Source organism: Homo sapiens, chromosome 2 (assembly GCF_000001405.40).
Source record: "Homo sapiens chromosome 2, GRCh38.p14 Primary Assembly".
NCBI classification, from domain to species: Eukaryota; Metazoa; Chordata; class Mammalia; order Primates; family Hominidae; genus Homo; species Homo sapiens.
Window position 1 is genome coordinate 199,269,258 of NC_000002.12, and position 21,596 is coordinate 199,290,853.

At 37.2% G+C, this 21,596-nt stretch overlaps 1 protein-coding gene across 5 annotated transcripts in view, besides 1 other annotated feature; it reads right to left on the reverse strand.

Moving 5' to 3' along the window:
- Positions 243 to 21,596, reverse strand: part of SATB2 (SATB homeobox 2) — a 201,767-nt gene continuing 180,413 nt past the window's right edge. For 3 of the 5 annotated variants that reach the window (NM_001172517.1, XM_005246396.4, XM_047443775.1), the window contains one exon: positions 243 to 3,415. In NM_001172517.1, the coding sequence (NP_001165988.1) occupies positions 2,954 to 3,415 (462 nt within the window). In that variant the 3' untranslated portion in view covers positions 243 to 2,953. The remainder of the gene's footprint in view (positions 3,416 to 21,596) is intronic. The other 2 variants (NM_015265.4, NM_001172509.2) reach the window with 1 other exon arrangement.
- Positions 2,628 to 3,827: an enhancer, noted in NCBI's record as "MED14-independent group 3 enhancer chr2:200136608-200137807 (GRCh37/hg19 assembly coordinates)". NCBI's record gives its function as "activates an origin of replication core promoter dependent on BRD2, BRD4, P300/CBP and CDK7 cofactors, and independent of MED14, by STARR-seq in HCT116 cells {active_cell/tissue: HCT116}" and the evidence as "EXISTENCE:reporter gene assay evidence [ECO:0000049][PMID:35650434]".

Genomic DNA, 21,596 nt, shown 5'->3' on the forward strand with positions numbered 1-21,596 from the left:
CAAAAGATTGGATAAAGGAAGTGAGCATGCATGTGTTTATATACACACAGAGACACACATACATTCACATGTGCTATTAAATCCATGCACTGTACAGGACTCATATATCTGTAATTGCAGGTACCACTGTCTTGTTTCTAAAATAAGGGTACAAATTTTCCTAAGACTCACCAGGTCTCTCTCTGCATGAAAAATTAAGTGGGAAAGCAGATAATGCCCAGTAAAATAACTGACAAACAAAGTCATATTTATTGAATGCGTTTATTTTAACAACCAAAAAATTCTAACAGCCTAACAATGCACATAAGTTAAAAATTAATTATCACTTAGTGATAACAAAGATAGTTGATTTACATGGAAAAAAGAACATTTACAATATGTTAATCCTTATTCACATTGTTGATACCGCAATAAAACACAATTTGTTTTTTTCATTTCACAAAAAAAAAAAAAGGCGGGAAATTGTGCTTTGTCAAGAGGCACTACAAGAGAAAGTTTCTTCTTCCAAATAGATATTATATGACAGATATTGAATAAATAGACATATATGCATTGTAATTCGCAAAGATCTGGCAAGACCACAGGCTAAAATGCCCACAGATTCACTTAGAACCACTGCAAACTTGGCAGTGAAATTAAAAAATAAAAGGCAAGACTTAGCATTGAAAAATACCTAATAAATTTTTGGTTGAAGTGTAAAAGATACCAAATGCGGATGCCATCGATAGATGAACCACCTTGTAAGAGCTTGGCAAAATCAGTTTCCATTACGTGTACAGAGTGACCTTCAGCAACAGTGTAAGAAGACAATTTGGAAAGAGTAACTCGGAGATCAGGAAGCAGCAACCATGGACTTTCTGATTAAAGCTGCAGCATACTACAGAAATAGGAAGGATGGGGCCAGGGCTAACTGCAAACAACCATCCTTTTGCAAAGGTATATGACGCTTATGTCAAGATAATTTTTAAACATCATTATTTGAAAAAGTACAGGAAAATGTCCCTTTAAAAACTCCAGAGGTTACTGAGCAGCTAGAATTAGCTTGTATTGCAACATGTCTTCTCCCTGTATATTGTAAGTTCTGAGTTAATATCTACACATAGAGGTTTTTTTTTTAACTCCTACCTTTTATACCTTTCAAATATATAAATAGTATTAACAGTTATATTACAATGTTTGTGTAGTAAACAGAAAATAACTTTCAAAGTGATATTGCATGAGGTCTTTGACAAGGTTTTGTGAAAGCACAACTCAAAAAAAAAAAAAAAATCCAACCATGTGGGACTGTTTAATGGCCAGTTTAAAGCATGGATTACGTTCACTAGGCCAGTCCTGAATGTGAGGTCTCCTCTTGCAATTACTGTAAGTAGAAGTGGAAAGTAATGCTTCTGGTGTTTCTCATAGGAAGCCGAAAGAGATCTGGAGTACTATAGTAGATTGCAGCTTTAATGCTCATCCCATTAAACATCCAGTCAGCATTAGTTCTGCTTTACATAAGGTAATTGCGATGTAGGTAACTGGGATAATGTTTTCTTTTAGGATGAGTAAGTGATTCTACTGAAATCGCTTCACATACTCTATTGCCTGGAGCTGCACAACGATTCAAAAACAGTTCTTGTTAGGGCTGTCATCCCAGGAAAAGGGACAGGAGAGATCAGGGACTGAAAATGTTTGATTAGGTAGATGGAATGTGTACGAAGAAGAGGAAGCCCAAAGTGAAGCAGAAATCAGAAATGTCTTTTGGGAGAGGGAAGGATGGAGATTTATTTGAGAGGGAGCCCCTTTAACTGGGCAGCAACTTCTTTTCTAACTTAATATTACACTGAACTATTTTCTAGTAAAAAACAAAAAGACAAAAAAACAGCAACAACAAACAACTTTTAAACGAGCAGGCTTATTAATTTTCAGATTTGAAGCCACAAGCAGGTAAATAAATTTCACAACAAAATGTGGCTCATACTATGAATTCCATATGTCCAATGTCAAAATGTCATTTGATCAAGACTTGCACTAGTGGACAAAGTTTTCTCTGCACTGAATTTCAGTTTTACTTATTTGGAATTCCACAGAAATGCATCTGTTCACTACAGTAATGACAAATTGAATAACGGAACGTAGCAAGTCATTTTATTGAGTCATTTTAAGTGTGCATTGTGTCTTTAAGATTTATTTGACTTGTATCATTTTAATGTGCCCTGATTGTTTTCACTTCACTTTTTTTTTTTTCGGCAGTGTCGTTTATTTTGTTAAATACATACCTCAAAAATTACCCATTAAGCTGCCAGATAGGAAGCCATAGAATTAAAAAAAAAAAATCAGGGACAAACACAAAAAATAAATAGGAATTCAAAAATAGTCACCCCACCCTGAGAGCAGGCCGCAGTTTATCAAAAAGCCAAAGCGACTCACTGTGAAGTGGTTTTTTTAATACATAAACAAGTCTTTTCTTTAAGAACTCATTTCACAGTCTATTCTTTCGGATTGCAAAGTCTCTGTCCCATGCAATTTTAATATATATATGTAAATATAGAGATATATACATATACATATACACACACACTTGTAGCTTCCTTCATTTATTTCATAGTTCTTTTCATCCTGGTACTTGCCTGATGTAACTTCCGTTAAGTGCAAGGATAATGAAGGCAGAGTCTCCTGTGATTATAATGACTATGATCCAGTCATAGAGACGGGATAAAGTGTAACGCTTTAGTGTCTTTGCCAAGGCGATGTCTGATTCGGAAATACTGAACTTATTCAGTCTATAGGTGTATCCTGTGCAACAAAGAAATGTCCAAAAGGGTAAGAAAAACAAAACAGACATAAAAAGACAAAAATAAAGCCAAAAAAACCCAAAAACAAAAACAAAAAACAAACTAACAAAAAACTTTTAAAGAAATGAAAGCAGAAAATCCTTGGACCGATGTATTGCTTTGCCTAGTAGAAGTTCACATTATCTCTGGTCAATTTCGGCAGGTGCTGCCTTGCTTTTGTCAGCATTTTCCTCCTCAGCCTCCACTTTGTACATCTCCTCGGAGCCTTCCTCGCTGTCGTTCTCCTCTGACTCGGTCAGCAGCTCCTCGTCCTTATATTCAGCCACGTCCACCGCGGAGCCCAGGTGCTCTTTCAGCTTCCCGTGGTGCTTCACGTGGTACCGCTGGTTCTGGAAGAACTTGATGATGGTGTGTTTGGGGAGATCCAGCTGAGCCGAAAGAGTGTGGATGGCTTCCTGGTCTGGGTACAGGCCTACATCATGAATAAAGCTTTGGAGGATCCCCAGGGCTTCTAAGGAGATCTTTGTGCGAGACCGGGGCTTTTTGGCACAACTGTCTTCAGTCGGAGGAGGTGGGGGAGGCGCTTCTTCTCTGGGAGGGGAACTCTCCTTGGCTGGCTGAGACTGCTGTCTATGAAGTACCTGATAATTAAGAGAGAAAAAAATGAACACTGGACTCATGATTTTACCTTTCCAAAACCATCAGCCCTCTGAAATATGTGTTATCTATCTAGCACTGGAGGTAAGCTATAGTCATTTGTAAAGTCAGGTCTTTGGAAAGCTTAAAAGCATTTCTGGACATTTAGTATCTCACCTACAAAACAGGAGGTTCATAACAGTAGTATTTGCCATCATTTATATTCTGAGATGCAAAGTCAAGTCATTTATTGCCTAAGGTCATCTCACTTTAGGCAACCTGGCTTCAGAGTCTTCTATACCTGTAACCACCAAGATATGCCACCTCTCTGAAGGCTAACGACAAAGAAATTGGGCACAAAGGGGAAAGTATGGACTCTATCATCATGGCTTCAAGTTCATATTCTTCCACTTAGCTGAGTAACCCTGGGCAAATCACTTAATATCTTTCAGCCTCTATTTCATCATCCATAAAAGTAGGATAAGAAACCAACCTCCTAGAGATGTTGTAAGGATTAAATGACATAATTGTTACAAAAAACAGTGCTTGTCTTAAATCAGGGATTGGCAAACTTTGTCAGGAAAGGGCAAGATAGTAAATATTTGAGGCTCTGGAGGGTCGATCTTTGCCACAACTACTCAATTCTATTCTATTGCAAAAACAAATGAACATGGCTATGTTCCAATAAGACTAAATTTGGCCCATGAGTCATAGTTTGCCTCATCTCTGGCTTAGAGCAAACATCCAATAAATGACAGTAATTATTATCAGCTTCATAATGACTCTTACAGTGTTATAGAGGAATAATTGGTACTTAAGCCAGAAAATCAATCCTTTGTAAAATTAGAAATGACTTTATATTCTTTTAGTTCTAGTTTTGAGTCTTTTGATTTTAAATGTATTTTTTAGAATGAGAAAATATTCAAACTAATTTAAAGACATAACTGTTTCTTAAATTATGAATTTAAACGACCATTTTATACTTAACATAGATAGACCTTCTCAAAATCACTATAAACTAATTAATCCTCTGTTTTGCATATACTTTGTAATTTCTGGGTTTTTTTTCTCCTAATGTTAAAGTTTTCTAGTTGTAATTTAAATAATTTTTCTTTTATTTCTACCTATTCCCCACTCATTTAATAAAAAAGCAAAATCTTAGGTAAGCTTACTCAAAGGAACTCAGTCCCGGCTCTCCCCACAGGCCTATGTGAGAAGGACTTTGTGGAGGGGGAGATGGAACATGAAGTCCTGATGAGGAACTGCAGCCATCGCCCACACCTTACAGCTTCAGCTGGATGACAGAATTACAAGGTTACTGTGCTCTTCCCCACTAAAATGTGTCATGTTGGCTCCAAAGGCAAAGACCACATTTCCTATACTTAGGTCAGTGCCTAACTTCCTAAATCCTCCCAAAACTTTTAAGAAGAGTGAGTTCACTTTTTAAAAAACACAATTCTCCTTTTACTATTCTCTCATATTTTATGGATCTTTTTCATTTTAGAATAACAAATTAAACATTTTCCAGAGTTCAGGAGGAATAAATCCAACCAATGCAAAGAAAACACGTCTAGTTACATTAAAGGACCATTCACACTACCATCCCTGCCACCTTTCCTGCCACCACCACACACTACCCATATGATCCATGTCTTTTAGCTATGAAACATCAGCATCAAAGCAAGCATTTAAGAAAAAAAAAAATCTGTCATTCATCCTGGTCTTGAAGGCCATATGATGAAAAAATACTTTCCCACCAATGTGAAACTGTCAGTCTTTTATGTAGAACTTAACAAATATTAGGGCGGATGAAACTGTTACCTAAATAAGGTAGCAATAAACAAAAGAAGTTTAAATTTTTCAAGTAATAATCAATAATCAAATAATAATAAAAAGGATAATCAGAAGCAAATAAGACTATCTGCTATAATAAGCTGACGGCTAGTGGCAGAAAGAAATCCTAAGCACAGGACTATAAAACAGTGGCACTAAAGTCTGCATAATGTTGACCAATTAAAATGAATGTTCTTAGCATTTTCCTTACCACTTTCAACTAAGAGTAAACTCATGTGGTCTGTTGTGGTAAGCTGGCATCAGCAAAAAAAGTGAGAGCTCCGTTACTTTAGCATCCTAATTATACCCGGCAGGAAAAGCAGAGCTCCAGGGATGGGGGGTGGGGGGACTGGTGCTGGTCAGGTCCACTTTCATGGCAGAAGGATATTTGCTCTGAGGCCATGATCTGGGCAGTATGAGCACTGCAATAAGTAAACCTCTATGTCAACAGGTGAGGATTCCAATTTTGGGGGAGAGAGAGACTGAAATTATGTGCAAAGTATATACTGGAAGAACATAGACTCAAGCATGAGTACTCCCCATTAGAGCAATTGCGCTAATTGGAAAACAAAAGAGAATTAAAATGCCCCATTTTCTAAATTATGCTTGCCTTCTGTAGTAAAAGTCAGCATAACGGTTCCATTTAATTGAATAATTAGATTGGTTCTTCAGGGATTTTCCACTGTGCACTGGTTAGATTTAAAGAGATTTTCCAAAACTATACTTTGAAGTTACTATAATCTTTCTGCATGATTGCATTTGTTCTTCTCCTTAGGTCCAACCAACTAGCCTGCTTCACTCCCCTTTGTTTCCTAGAACTGAGCACTAGTAATACATATGTACAGAGAAGCCAAACATGAAACAGAGAAAGAACAGTAAGAATAGCTACCCCTCACTGAATGTTTATTCTGTGCCAGGCAGTTCTAAGAACTTCACATGGATTAATTAACTGAATCCTGACAAGTTCCTCACAAAGGTGCTATTTGGATTCAAGATTGAACTGGAAACATGTAGCATCTCCTCTTAATTCCAATTCGGAGGATTCTCCTCCGAATTGGAAATTACAAACATGGGGAGTTGTCAGTCTGATAAAGAAGGTTTCCAGGGGACAATGACAAGGCAACTGCCCATGACAGACTAGGAAGATGTTTCTCAAGAGAAGTAATAGTCAGAGAAATTATCTACAAAGTGAAATATATAGTTTCTGGTCAGACAATGTACCATAGTGGGTTGGGCACCATGATGACATCTACATGAAGATGGTTAAGTTATATCTTCTAGCATCTTCTAACAGGTAAGGAAAGAGCAGTCAAAACAGTGAATGTCCAAATGGGCATCTCTAAAGTGAAACTGTCTTACAAGTTAGCAAAGGAGCTGAGCTTTTTCTATTATACTGACACTTTTCTTTGGCTATAAGTCCCTTTCAACCGCAATATACATAATATCTGAGATTAAAAGATTCCCAAAGTTATCTGTCCTAACTATCTGTATTCCCCTAAAATGTTCTAATTACTCCAGGCAGAGAGTTACTGTCTCTAGACAATTCCTAGCAAAAGAACAACATAATTTGCTCTCTAGCCAATTGCTAAGAATCCTTCCTAATACCATGTAGTACTTTATTCTAGTGGTATACGTACTCTGAGTGAAAGGAGAGCAGTACCTAATGCCTATAAGATGGTCTTCTCTAGGCATGAAAACCAATCCAAATCCTCTTCTAAAATCCTCCCATCTAAAGGACAGAATCAAGTCATCTTTTCTTCACTTTCTCACATCTTGACTAAATAATGTCAACTCTTTTAGCCATTTCTTCACAGGAAAAGTTTCTGAACTCTCACTTAACTGATATTTCGATTTGGTGTTTTGTTTTGTTTTGTTTTTTGTCTGAATCTCTCAGAACATCTTCTAAATTCCCTGTTAGTGAACTAGAACGAATCAAATTTGGTCTCTGTCCCAAGCAAGTGCCCTGAGAGTCATGCCATTGATTGCTGATGGAGAGACCTATAAGCGGTTTCATTCCTAGGCTCATTTGACAGTTTGGGCATAATTTTTTTGTTAATTAATATTTTAAGTCACAAAATTCACAATTACTCCAACTAAGAGAATGCCCTGCAAAATGAATAAAATTCTCTTTCCAAACTAGTCCTTTATGCAGTCAGATTATAATTTTCTGAGATTTTCTTTATATTAATCGAGCATCTTTCCAACAATTTATGAAAAAGCTGGCAGGACCAAGGTCTTTCCAGCATTACCTTTTTCCCTTTTTTCAAAATGGGCCCAGTGGAGGGGCAAAAAAAAATCCCCATTGATAGTACCTACTAACGCCATGCATACAAACACTGTATAAAACCAGAAATGAATGCCTATGTCCTCTAAAACGCATGCTCATAGCAGTTTTAGTCATCACCAGAAACAACCCAAGTGTCTACCAATAATAAGATCGATAAATAAATTGTAGTATACTTATATAACCGAGCAGTAGGAAAAATGAACTATTGCTATATACACAAACATAGATAAAAACAGACTTACTGTCGAGTGAAAGAAGTCAGATATGAAAGACCAAAAACTGTATGATTCCACTTATGTGAAAGAATAGGAAAAACAAATTAATATAAAAGAGTAGAAAAAAATAGGAAAAGCCTGCATTGACAGATCCCAGCATAATGGGTTTCCACTGAGGTTTACTGAGTGGAAGCGGGTGGAAGATAGCCTTCTGGGATGTTGCAAATATTCTCTATATTGACCTGTGTGTTTGTTAAAAGGATGTGTGTATGTCTAAAAGATTATCAAACTGTACAATTAAAATCTGTGCATTTTACTGTATGCAAACTATAACATATTTCGATATAAAAGTTTAAAAAAATGGGCTTAGTAGTTGACCTTTATTTATCCCTAAGGCAAACACCTCTCTTCATGTGATTTTCCCAAATAATGGAATATTTAATTCTGTAAGGGTAACTATCCACTCCTTTTTACTCTTGATCTTTGCACACTGAAGCCTATCAACTCATCCTATTTCTTTTTTTGGTTTGGATTTTTCTCCATCAAAATTAAGGTTAATCTAGACAACAAATTCATTTCTGTAAAGAGAGTCCTAAATGGTTTATTTAAAAGCCTTTCTTTTTCATAGCTTCTGCTGTTGATTTTTCAGTATGACAGGCAAGGTTCACAGTAATGAAATATCTAAGTAGCTTTAATAACAATAATAATAGTAGTAATAGGTGCTACCATTCATATAAAGCTTACTCATGAGACACACATTGACCTAAATGCTATAAATATATTTTATGTTATTAATTTTCACAGTACTCTTAGAGGCAGGCATTTTTACCCCCACTTTATGATGGGAAAACTGGAGTTCCAAAAGTGTAGATAATTTGTTTAAGGTGCAGAGTTTGCAAGCAGCAGAACTGGGCTTGTCAAGCATATCTTATTCAAGCATATGTTAAAGCCCATGCCCTTAAACATTATGGTCTCCTGACTTCTATGAGTAAAATATAGAGAAAAATTGAACAAAGTCTTTAGAGTAGAGGAGATAGATCGTAAATAAAATATCAGCTAGTAATAAATACATAGAGCAATGCATAAGGAGGAAGATTGTGGGGAGGGGAAGTTATTTGAGATAAGGTGACTCAGAGAAGGCTCCCTACAGAGGCAGCATTGGAGCCCAGGCATGAAGATGTGAAGCCCAGCCATGTGGAAGAACATTCCAGATAACAGAAAGGCAAACAAAAAGGCTGCCAGGCAAGAATATACTTGGTACAATTGCAAAACCGCAAGAAAGTCAGCACGTTAGAGCTGTGCCGCCCAATACAGTAGCCACTAGCCACATGTGGGTATTTACATTTAAACTAATTAAACAAACAAACAAACGTTCACTCAGTCACATCAGCCACATTTTAAGTGCCCCATTGTGTCACTTGTGCGATGCCATGATGGATAGCACAATACAGAGCATTTCCCTTAGCACAGAAAGTACTGTTGGATAGTACCATGCTCCAGCAAAATGACACCTGAGAGAGCCACACGGCCAGAGCATGGAGTGCTTGGCATTCCACCATCAGGGTAATGGAAAGCCCTCACAATGAACTTCAATCATAAAATCTGAGATAGCCAAAAATATACTAAGACCTGAAAACTGCTACTATTACCAGAGAGATGGGAAAATATTTAAATAATTACTTAGTAAGAAAAATTCAGTTTGTAATATAGCACTGGATTTTTATCGGAGTATTACAAATAGCAACATTGTCATAAACACAGCCAGAAGTATGCACTGGCACTTCTACCCTCAAAAGAATGGTTAATTTACATTTAACTGATTGTTGTCTTCTTCATCAGAGGTGTTCATCATATCTAAAAGAAATGATATTAAAAACAGCCCTGGGTTAAAAGAATTTTTTAAAAAGTATATCCATATATCAAACATTTATGGAGTATCTACAATAATTGGACCTATTAATTTACACAGCTTTTTAATAAGAAGTCCTATTTCCAACAATTAAGGTCTGATGAATAAGTTATGGGTAGGAATAAACAAATAGAAAGTTAAAAGTCTAGTAAGTTTCTTATTTATTTGCTGTAATCTCTCTGGGCTGAAATGTGACACATATGTCTATAAATGGGCATGAAGATGGCAATGAAGAATGAGAAGTTGTAAATATACTCAAAAGAGACATTAACTGCAAATGAAACCCAAAGTTCCTTGCCCAGTCATAAAGCACAATTATAATATGGACACATGTTGTTTCTCTGCTTTCAAAATTTGAAAACAAAAAGACCTAATGGTACCATGACCAAAGTTGACTAAGAAAGATAAAGCAGCTCTTCTTAAAGCTCTCAGTGTTCAAATGGATTCTGAAGGCCTCAATGAAAACCAGCTGGGAGCCAAGTGTAAAATATAATGCTTTTTGCCTGTAGGGAAGGAAGTGAGATCTTGAATGATTAAGTTTAGGAAAGTATGTAATTCACTGTATCATTATGGGGTGAGCTGGATTACTTATAATATGCCAACACTTTGTGGTCTTCTTTTATAGAGAAAATGAGAAATTATTAAAGAGGTGACTGTATAAGGTGGTTGATCCAGTGTAGTAATAGGTTAAAACAGTTTCCCAGGTGGTCACGTCTGTCTCTCTATGACAAGCCTCACCCAAAGCTTCAGGTCCTGTAGGGTAAGGTATATTCATAGGAGATGAGAACACAAACAAAATGACTTTTATCCACGTTTATTTTGGGTTAATATTAGAATTATTTTGACTTGTTGTCCAATTTTACCTCATTTTTTAGAACAGAACATAAACTGTGATCCAAAAAAGGAAAGCATTATCCTACTAAAAGTTCCAAGAAAAATATACTTAAGGTCAGGCACGGTAGATGATGCCTATAATCCCAACACTTTGGGAGGCCAAGGCGGGCGGATCACTTGAGTTCAGGAGTTCAAGACCAGCCTGGACAACATGGTAAAACCCTGTCTCTACTAAAAATACAAAAATTAGCCAGGCGTGGTGGCACGCGCCTGTAATCCCAGCTACTTGGGTGTTGCGGGAAGTCAGGGACCCCAAACGGAGGGACTGGCTGAAGCCATGGCAGAAGAACGTGGATTGTGAAGATTTCATGGACATTTATTAGTTCCCCAAATTGATACTTTTATAATTTCTTACGCCGATCTTTACTGCAATCTCTGAACATAAATTGTGAAGATTGCATGGACACTTATCACTTCCCCGATCAATACCCTTGTGATTTCCTATGCCTGTCTTTACTTTAATCTCTTAATCCCATCATCTTCGTAAGCTGAGGAGGATGTATGTCGCCTCAGGACCCTGTGATGATTGTGTTAACTGCACAAATTGTTTGTAGAGCATGTGTGTTTGAACAATATGAAATTTGGGCACCTTAAAAAAAGAACAGGATAACAGCAATGTTCAGGGAACAAGAGAGATAACCTTAAACTCTGACTGCTGGTGAGCCGGGCGGAACAGAGCCATATTTCTCGTCTTTCAAAAGCAAATGGGAGAAATATTGCTGAATTCTTTTTCTCAGCAAGGAACATATCTGAGAAAGAGAATGTGTCCCTGAGGGTAGGCCTCTGAAATGGCCGCTTTGGGGGTGGCTGTCTTTTACGATCACAGCTGTAGGGATGAAATAAGCCCCAGTCTCCCGTAGCACTCCCAGGCTTATTAGGACGAGGAAATTCCCGCCTAATAAATTTTGGTCAGACCAGTTGTCTGCTCTCAAACCCTGTCTCCTGATAAGATGTTATCAATGAAAATGCGTGCCCAAAACTTCATTAGCAATTTTAATTTCGCCCCTGTCCTGTGGTCCTGTGATCTCGCCCTGCCTCCATTTACCTTGTGATATCTTATTACCTTGTGAAGCATGTGCTCTCTGTGACACACACCCTATTCGTACATTCCCTTGCCTTTTGAAAATCACTAATAAAAACTTGCTGGTTTTGCGGCTTGTGGGGCATCAGGGAACCTGCTGACATGTGATGTCTCCCCCAGACACCCAGCTTTAAAATTTCTCTCTTTGTACTCTGTCCCTTTATTTCTCAGACTGGCCGACACTTAGGGAAAATAGAAAAGAACCTACTTGACTATCAAGGGCAGGTTCCCCCGATACTTGGGAGGCTGAGACAGGAGAATTGCTTGAACCCAGGAGCGGGAGGTTGCAGTGAGCTGAGATCACACCACTGCACTCCAGCCTGGGTGACAGAGCAAGACCCTGTCTCAAAAAAAAAAAAGCATGTGTGTATGTATGTATGTGTGTGTGTGTGTGTGTGTATATATACATATATATGAGAAATCATTAAGGAGGTGACTGTATAAGGTGGTTGATCCAGTGTAGTAATAGGTTAAAACAGTTTCCCAGGTGGTCACGTCTGTCCCTCTATGACAAGCCTCACCCAAAGCTTCAGGTCCTGTAGGCTAAGGTACATTAATAGGAGATGAGAACACAAACAAGATGATATGAGATATATACACACACACACAATTTTTTTTTACTTAAAAGTAACAACAATTGGTTGAAAGTCCTTATGCATAACTCAATTAGAATTTGTTGAATAGATGATTGAATACATGCTATTATTTTTTAAATGGACTATATATAAAATATCATGTAATTGAAAGTTTCAAAAACCTAGCTCTACCCTCTAATATTCCCCTTTTTTCAAAATCAGCATTAAGGACAATTAATTTTGGCCCAAACATTCAGTAAGGAGAACTTTAATGATTAATAACTAATGTAAATATCAATGTAATTATTTTATGTCTCCGTCACTGTTGGACTGTGAGCTACATATTGGCATACCATATGCCTGGGACACAATTAGTGCTCAGTATCTTTGTTCTGTGGCGCTGCATTCCATATTCTCTCTCTTTTTTTTTTTTTTTTTGAGACAGGGTCTTGCTCTGTCGCCCAGGCTGGAGTGCAGTGGCGTGATCTCAGCTCACTGCAAGCTCCGCCTCCTGGGTTCATGCCATTCTCCTGCCTCAGCCTCCCGAGTAGCTGGGACTACAGGTGCCCACCGCCACACCCAGCTAATTTTTTGTATTTTTAGTAGAAACAGTGTTTCACCATGTTAGCCAGGATGGTCTCGATCTCCTGACCTCGTGATCCGCCCACCTTGGCCTCCCAAAGTGCTGGGATTACAGGCGTAAACCACTGCGCCCGGCCCATATTCTCTCTTCTTTACTTTCAGATCAGTTACTATTCTTGTTCAGCAAAACTAGTTATTACTTTTCTTGCTATTATTCCTTTTTAGCAAAAGAATGTTTAAAAAATAAAGAAGCTATCACTAATTACAGGAATTTATATCTAGTGTGTATCTGAGAGTAGGGATATAATTCTTTTCTGTGTAAAAAAAAATTCCTAGGGCACTGTATAACCTATAAGATGGCATTGTATACACGTGGTAAGGAGAAGTTTTGAGGTCACAAAGTTCTGGTTTCAAATCCAGTTTCTACTGCAAAACCACAACTGCTTAGTTACTAGCCTTGTAATTCTGAGCACGTTACTTACTCTCTCTGAGCCACAGTGCTTGTTAATCTGTAAAATCTTCCTTGTAGTGCTGGTAGTGTTAGGAGGGAAAGTGAGATAATATATGCTAAGTATGTAGCAGCAAAGTTCTGAAGTCATAAGTAGGGTTTCAATTAGTAGTAGTTATTACAAAACGTGAGGAGTATTTAAGAATCAGGAGTATAATGAGTCACTCATTTTTTCTATCAACATGCTTATTATAAAAGCAACAAATTCAGAAACCTTTTTCACCCCACAGATCTACAAATAGGCACATCTACTGATAACTTTTCTTATTTCTTTCACTCAAATACTACATACATCTTTGTACTTAAAATGGCACCTGGCACAGAAAAGTTGCCTCTGAAGCATATGTTACATGAAATTGAGCCTCAAGTTACAGTCTGTTTAAGGTGACACCTTCTATACATACAGCCTGACATCCTCTTAGGAAGACATTCTTTATCAATGATTCTCAAAGTGTGGTCCATGCAATAGGCCCATGCCATCAAAACTATTTTCATAGCAAATCCAAGACATTATTTACAACATAAACATAAACTTTTTTTTTTTTTTTTTGAGATGGAATCTCACTCTGTCGCCCAGGCTGGAGTGCAATGGTGCGATCTCGGCTCACTGCAAGCTCCGCCTCCTGGGTTCACGCCATTCTCCTGCCTCAGCCTCTTGAGTAGCTGGGAATACAGGCGCCCGCCACCATGCCTAGCTATTTTTTTTTTTTTTGTATTTTTTGTAGGGACGGGGTTTCATCGTATTAGCCAGGACGGTCTCTATCTCCTGACCTTGTGATCCACCCACCTCTGCCTCCCAAAGTGCTGGGATTACAGGCGTGAGCTACCACGCCCAGCCAAACATAAACTTTTTGACCTTGCTGAAATTCGCCGTGAGCTCATGGCTGTGAAAAATACAACTGCCTGGACCATTTGGTGCTGCTGCCTTGATTGTTGCAAGCCAGCATTTCCCACCAGTGCTTTTGTACCATCTGCAAATTTCAGCAAAGTCAAAAAGGTAAATAATGCCTTGGATTTGCTATGAAAATAGTTTCAATGTTGTGGGCCTATTGCATAGACCACACTTCAAAATTTGCCAATGGTACAAAAGCACTGGTGGGAAATGCTGGCCTGCAACAATCAAAGCAGCAGCACCAAATGGTCCAGGCAGTTGTATTTTTCACTGCCACACGCTCATGGCAAAAATGATGCCACTTTCATTTAAGAGCATCTTTGATGAAGCAGTAAAATTGTATTACTTAAGTCTCAATCCTTGAGTATACGTCTTTTTAATGTACTGTGTGAAGAAATGGGAAGCGCATATGAAGTACTTCTGTAGCATACTGAGGGAAGATGGTTGTCTTGAGAAACAGCACTTGTGTCATTGTTGGACTTGAAAGCTGAGCCACCCATCTTTGTCATGGAGTATCAATTTGACTTGAAAGAACAACTAAAGACAAACTATGGTTATTCGGATCTGCATATTTGACATTGTTTTAAAACTAAAGTGAGCCTATCACTCCAGGAAAAATATCTGACAGCATTTGTTGCCAATTATACCTTTTAACCTTTCAAGCAAAAATTAGAGTTTTGAAAAACTTGTAGTGGCCACCATATGCTTAATAGTTTCCCAATACTTAACTTTTTTGATATCAGTGGTGATTTAACAAATATGTTTGGTTTTGCTTTTAAATATGTCATATAATAAAATGTGCCAACATTTGTAAGGGCTGCATAACCTTACAAAATACAGTAAACCAGTATTTTCCAAATGCATGCATGATGTTATAAAGTTATGAATAGGTAAAAGAAAAAGTATGAAAAGTTCATCAATATAGTTTTAGATTCAATTCCACTTTGCAACTAACCATTAAGAAACTACCACTTGTAGAATGTTGCTCTAGTATCAAAGAAGAATATCACAATTATCTGAAATGCAGATTAAAATATTTTTTCCTATTGTAATTACACATCTACCTGAGGCTGGATTTGCCTCACCAGCGTCAACCAAAACCACATATTGTATTAGATTAAATGCTGAAGCAATTATGAAAATCCAGTTGTCTTTCATTAAGTCAGACTTTAAAATATTTGCAAAAGTATATAAAACATTGGCATTCTATTATTTTTCTGTTTTGAAAATATATTTATTGTGAAATAAATATATCATTTACATATATGCATTTATAGTTGGCCCACCATATCCATGGGTTCCATACCTATGGATTCAACAAACCACAATCAAAAATATTTAGAAAAAAAAAAGAATGGTTATATCTGTACCTAACATGTATCAACTATTTTTTGTCATTATTCCCCAAACAATATAGTATAATAACTATTTACATAGCATTTACACTGTATGAGGTATCATAAGTAAACTAGAGATAATTCAAAGTATATGGAAGGATGTATGTACATTACATGCAAATACTACACCATTTTACATAAGGGGCTTGAGCATCCATGAATTTTGTTATCTGCAAGAAGTTCTGGAATCAATCCCCCGTGGATACAAGGGGATGACTGTGTATTATCTATAATTATTTTTAAATTAGTAAGCATTTAAAAAATTCCTCAGAATTTCTAATATGGTAATATTCATAAATATAACACATTATTGGGGTCCTCAATAGTAACAGTGAAAAGAGATTCTGAGACCAAAAAGTTTGAAAACTTTGGATGACATGAATCACACTCAATAGTAAAAACATCCTTACTTGAGTCAAATCACTTAGGAAAGCCTTAGAGAAAGAGTGTAGGAGAAAATCACTTAGGAAAGCCTTAGGGAAAGAGTGTAGGAGAAATTACACATGCATTATGATTTGTCTCCTGACTTTATCACACAAAGACATTTTCACAGGCAAAACATATTCTCCTAGATACACAACTCAGCACTATTTCTAACTTCAAATGATGTTACTTAAGTTGGCTCTTATGATTGTAATTTCACATCCTAACATTATAGGACTTATTAAAAAACCATGGTTTAGCTTTGTTGCTTTATTTGGATTACACAGTATCCTAAGGTCAAAACTCAGGAAATCTGTTATTAAAAAAAAAAGTATCCATGAAGTGATGACAAATTGCAGACTACAGGTGTTAGATTACATTTTGACTCCAGGCGGATTTAATATAAGTTGGTTCTCTTTTACAATTGCTCTTAGCACATACAGCTATAGGAGAGGGATTTAAAAAAAAAAAGAGAGAGAGAGAGAAAGAGAATAAGAAAAAAAAAGTGGCAGTCAACAAAAGAAGACCATGTCAAGAGAAATCAATACAAACAAGCAAAATGGTAGGAAGTCTGACATGGAAATATGTGTTCAATTTCATCCAGCCTTAGTCTGTTTTTTTTTTTTTTTTTTAAATATTGTAACCAAGATACTACTGGAACACTGTGTATGTTTTTAATGCAGTTTAATAATTGTTTCTCAAAATAAACACTTTGGTCAAAGATAAAAGCATAAAAATATTGTGACACAATAGGCTGTTAAACTTGGGTTTTGGAGGAAGCATGGTTCTTAAAACAGCCTTTGGCTTATATCATTTCCTCTTTGGTTATAAATTGAGAACAACTATACCAACAGCTTTGGTATAGTTTGGGGAAAAAAAAAAAAGTATCACAGTCATTAATCTGATTGCTGGGAGTGGCCAGAATCTGCAAATACTGAAGAGGTAGGTGGCTGAGTGAAATGCTTCTTCAATATAAGGAGATGAGGAACTATATCAAATAGCTATGAAGAGAGTATAGAAAACAATCCACTCTCCAGTTAGAACCTGAGGAAAAGCATGGACACATGATGTACCTAGTGGCAATTATACCTTTCCCTTAATCAGCACCATCTGAGAAACAGATTTATTTGATCATCTAGGGCTAACATGACCAAAACCATTCCACAAAAACAACAAACACAATCCATGAGAAGACTTGGGAAGAATGACCAAAACCATTCCACAAAAACAACAAACACAATCCATGAGAAGACTTGGGAAGACCGGACCCTTTAGGACAGTCCGGGCTATGACCATGTGTCCTTATGCCTGGGAGATACCATCCCCAGCCCACCCACCACACGCTCACTTGCCTGACATCCATAAGCACTAATTTCTCCCTGTTCCGACACTCCTCCACCACTCTTCACAAAGTATTCTCAGAACACAAAACCTAGCCTAAAAATTCACAGGAAAGGCCTATCTCTTGAAGACCCAATTCAAGGCACAGATTAAAGTGTCTTTAAAGACCTTACATCTGGTTAAAACGAATAAAGAGTAAGATGGAAATGAGCAGGGTAACAGTTACCTCTAGGATTCTGATTTTTAAATAAATGTGTGACTTGCTTCATGGGTATAATTGCAAAAAAAAGTGGCTTTTGCACCAGCATACATGAAAGAAGATACTCTTAAGTTAAACATAACCAGGTAACTAAATGAGGAAGATGAAAGGTTAGGATGACTTGGTACCACACGATCCCAATGATATTAAAAGAACCAACCTGGAAATTTCTAATACTTCAGCAATGGCAAAAGGCTAAGAAAGAAAGATGTGCAAAGGGTTCAGATTAAGCATGATCCCTCAGAATGCTTAAATAGTTAATCCAGCTGGCTCTATAATTCTCAAGTGAAGTAAAAATGTGACCCAAATGAAAATAACTTCATCAATGCCAGTGACACATGATTTGTGAGCTTTGAAACTTGTTTTAAAACAGATTCAAGGTAAGCTTAAAATAATAGAATAGAGACCACTTCAGATAAATACATTTCACCCAGTAAATTTAACCAGAGCAGAGTTTTAATTCCTTTTAAATGAAAATGTTTTAAGATATATGAAGGAAAAGAATAGATACATTTAATAAGAAGAGACATCACTCAGTCAGCCAAGAATTGTCAATGAAGACTTAAATAATGATTCCTAAGGTAAAGCACCAAAGAGTCAGAATTCAAACCATTTCCAAATCCCTTCATAGTATTTATAAATCTAGTGATGAAAAATATAAATTGAAAACACCTATTTAGAATAGGATGATTTAGAAACAAGGATAATATGGAGGGGTGTGGTGGGGGGGGAGATTATCTATGTATACTTTCAGTCATAGGATCTCAATAAATTATGTAAGCTTCACTGAAATAAAGCATTACTATTACTGATTTACACATAGATTATTTAATATGACTCCATGGTCGTATATCAAATTTCTGTAATTATTTAAATCCTGTAATTATTTTCAAAGCTCTTTATCATCTTTTGTTTTTCTTACTTCTTAAAAAGAATGAAATAATCTCACAATATTGGCAGGTACTACTGCATTTATTCTTCAGAGGAAGAAACAAATACACAAAATTGAGCTCTGACTCCAAAATCACATACCCCCGAGTCTAACATGTAACAAATATATGCTTACTGCTGTTTAGCTAGCTAATGGAGAAAAATACAAAATTATATTCTGTTTCAATTTAAGTTTTTAGCACAAATTTCTTTTAGTGTGAATAAACACCTTCAACTAAAATCTACTAGACTCTAAGAATAACACTATAAATGACAGAGGCTATTATTCAATATTTCAAGTTTGGAATTAAAAGTGAAAACAACACAAATGTTAGGAAAAATTAGAATACTTTATGGGGAAGTTTCTCTCCCAAATGTCCATTTAGAGTGGGTTATAAAGAGATTTTTACATTTCTATCTCTGTGTACCATTTTTACAAAGCAGATACCCAGTTTCATCAAAATTTGCTAGCACATAAAGAGAGACCCTTCCTGACAAACCTCAGCCAAGAACCAGTTTAGGATTTAAAATCCCCATAACTACAATGGCACTAGTGACATCACAACTGAAGTGTTTTACAGCTTCTTAAAAGACAGGGCTTCAATTATTTAAGGAGAAAGCATGTTTGGAAGAGATGCTTTACTTCAGGGGAAAGAGATGAAAGAAGGTAATCCATGTGTTTGAAGCCTCACATGAGGCTATTTAGAATCCCACATTAGGCCACATTTTCTGTATAATTTTTACAGTTGGGGTACTCAGAAGTCAGAACAATCTGACAGTTATGGTTAGTGAAAATATTAGATGTTCACCAAGAAAATACTACCTCAGCATATTTTTTGCTTTCTGAATGTAACCACTTAATAACAGGACTTGAGAAAACTGCACTGTGTGAATCAAACACATAAAAGTACAAATATTCCTTTTATAGAAAGTAAATCTTAAGGAGTGCATTATAATCAACCACTCTGGTAAAAGAAAAAAAAAATCTAGCATTACCACACCACTGACATATTATAGTTTATTATACCCAGAAGTCCAAACTGGGTAAACAAAGTCAAATGATCAAAGAAGGGTTTTCGCCTCAAACCATGAGGCAGAGGCCATTGATCTCTAGGGAGAGGCAGCAAAGATTCCTGGTGGCTTAGCTCTTAAAAGGTATCAAGTGAGAGCTTATCAGACATAGCCTTTAGTTTTCAACTTCATTTAATTTCATCAGAGACTGGCTTTCTTGGTATTATTTTCTTGCAAGAGAAAAATAATATGGAAAAATTAAATATGTGAGGTAGAAACTTCCCAAAAGTTTGGGCTCTTAATTCTAGGGTAGGCTTTTCCATTCTAAACCACTTTTAATTCATTATGGGAATATTGGTTTTGTATCCTCCACATTAATGATCTTACTACCTGAAACCAGGTATGGACAGACTTTTGCTTCTCAACTTTGTGGCAGGTATATCGGGTGAGAAGTGAAAAGCCAACAAGGACAGGCACTCTTGTTTAGATCAAGGCTTTCTCAAGAAAATGAGTCTCCTTTTCCCAGGGGTCCAAGGATGGTCACTGGGAAGAGAAATCTCAGTTCCTAATTCCCTGGGGCAAAGTAACTGGACTAGTAACTCCTTTTCTCACAAGCAAGATTCCAGTCTCCGAGCAGCAGAGGACCATGCTACTCCCACAAGGCCATTCAGCATCCTTATCTACTCAGATTCACAAAACAAGTCCAATTGTGTCTCCACACAACGTTGCCTTGGCTTTTCTGAGCATATTTGCTTACCCTGTGTAGGTCGTCTTCAGAAACTGGAACTGTCAAGTTATTATACTTTCAAATGTGAATACGCTTCGGGGTGGATTTAATTTAATAGCTGAGAACTCAGTACAAAACAAACATACTTACAAATGACATTAGCAGGGAATTAATCGTTAACGCTCTTGATTGGTGCTCCAAGACCAACCCCCCAGGTTGCTCCAGCCAACATCTGAGAGTTCTCACTGACTCCTTCCCCTCAACTAAAACTCCACATCTAGTTGATCCCACGTGTTGCTGATTATTCCTTTTAAACAGTTCTTGGATTAATTTTCCCTTCTCCAGGTGTACTCCCATTGCTGTAATTCAGACTCTTATAATCTCTTGCCTGAATTACTCTGACTTCCTCCCAACAGGCCTCCCTGTCACAGCCAACCGAACATCTTGCTAAAGGCCCTCAGTGGCCTTCAGGTGGTCTAGGCCTCTTCTGTGTACAAGAAGGCCCCGTAACCTCACTGCAGCCTGAGCCCCTGCTGGTCCTTGCTCCCCAGCCCCTGCCTTGCAGGCTGTGCTCCAACAACTCTACACTGGAGCCCCCAGACTCATGCTGTGTCACCCTTTCTTGGAAACCTCTGATGATGAATCTGTAAGAGCCATGAGCAGCACTACGCCTTGGAAGCCTTCTGAGTTCTCCAACTCACCAGGTTTGGGGCAGGCATGCCCCTTTTGTGCTTTTCTTTCTCTTACTTATACGCTGTATTATAGCTATCTGCTCTCATATCTGCCTCTCCACTGATCTCTGGGCTCCTTAAGGGTAGATTCTGTGTTATATTCACCTCCACATACTCTAAACTTAGCACAATGTCAAGGCACTGTGCTTTGAATGAATATATACGTCTACACAGGCAATAGCCATATTACACAGACTGAAAGTCATCCTTAAATTTAGAACACATCTAATAGTCCTAAGGGGAAATAAAGTATTAAATCTATGTAGGCACTCACTAAAAATACACTTATTACCGAAAAGAGCTGAGTTATCATAGTTTATAATAATTTGATACATGCACACATACACTTTGTATACAGGTTAATAAATACCATAGGTTAATAAATACCATACTGACTCACACAGTTCTTTAATTCCCAAAAAAATCTGATTGAAAATTATTAACACTCAAGAAATATATAGGATATTCCTATTCTCAGGGATAAAAACTGACATATTCATCAGTTTGCTTCTCTCTCTCCCTCCCCAATCTGCAGAAATATTTCTACTATCACTAGAACTTAAAGGGCCTGCAGCAGACAGCTTCCATGAC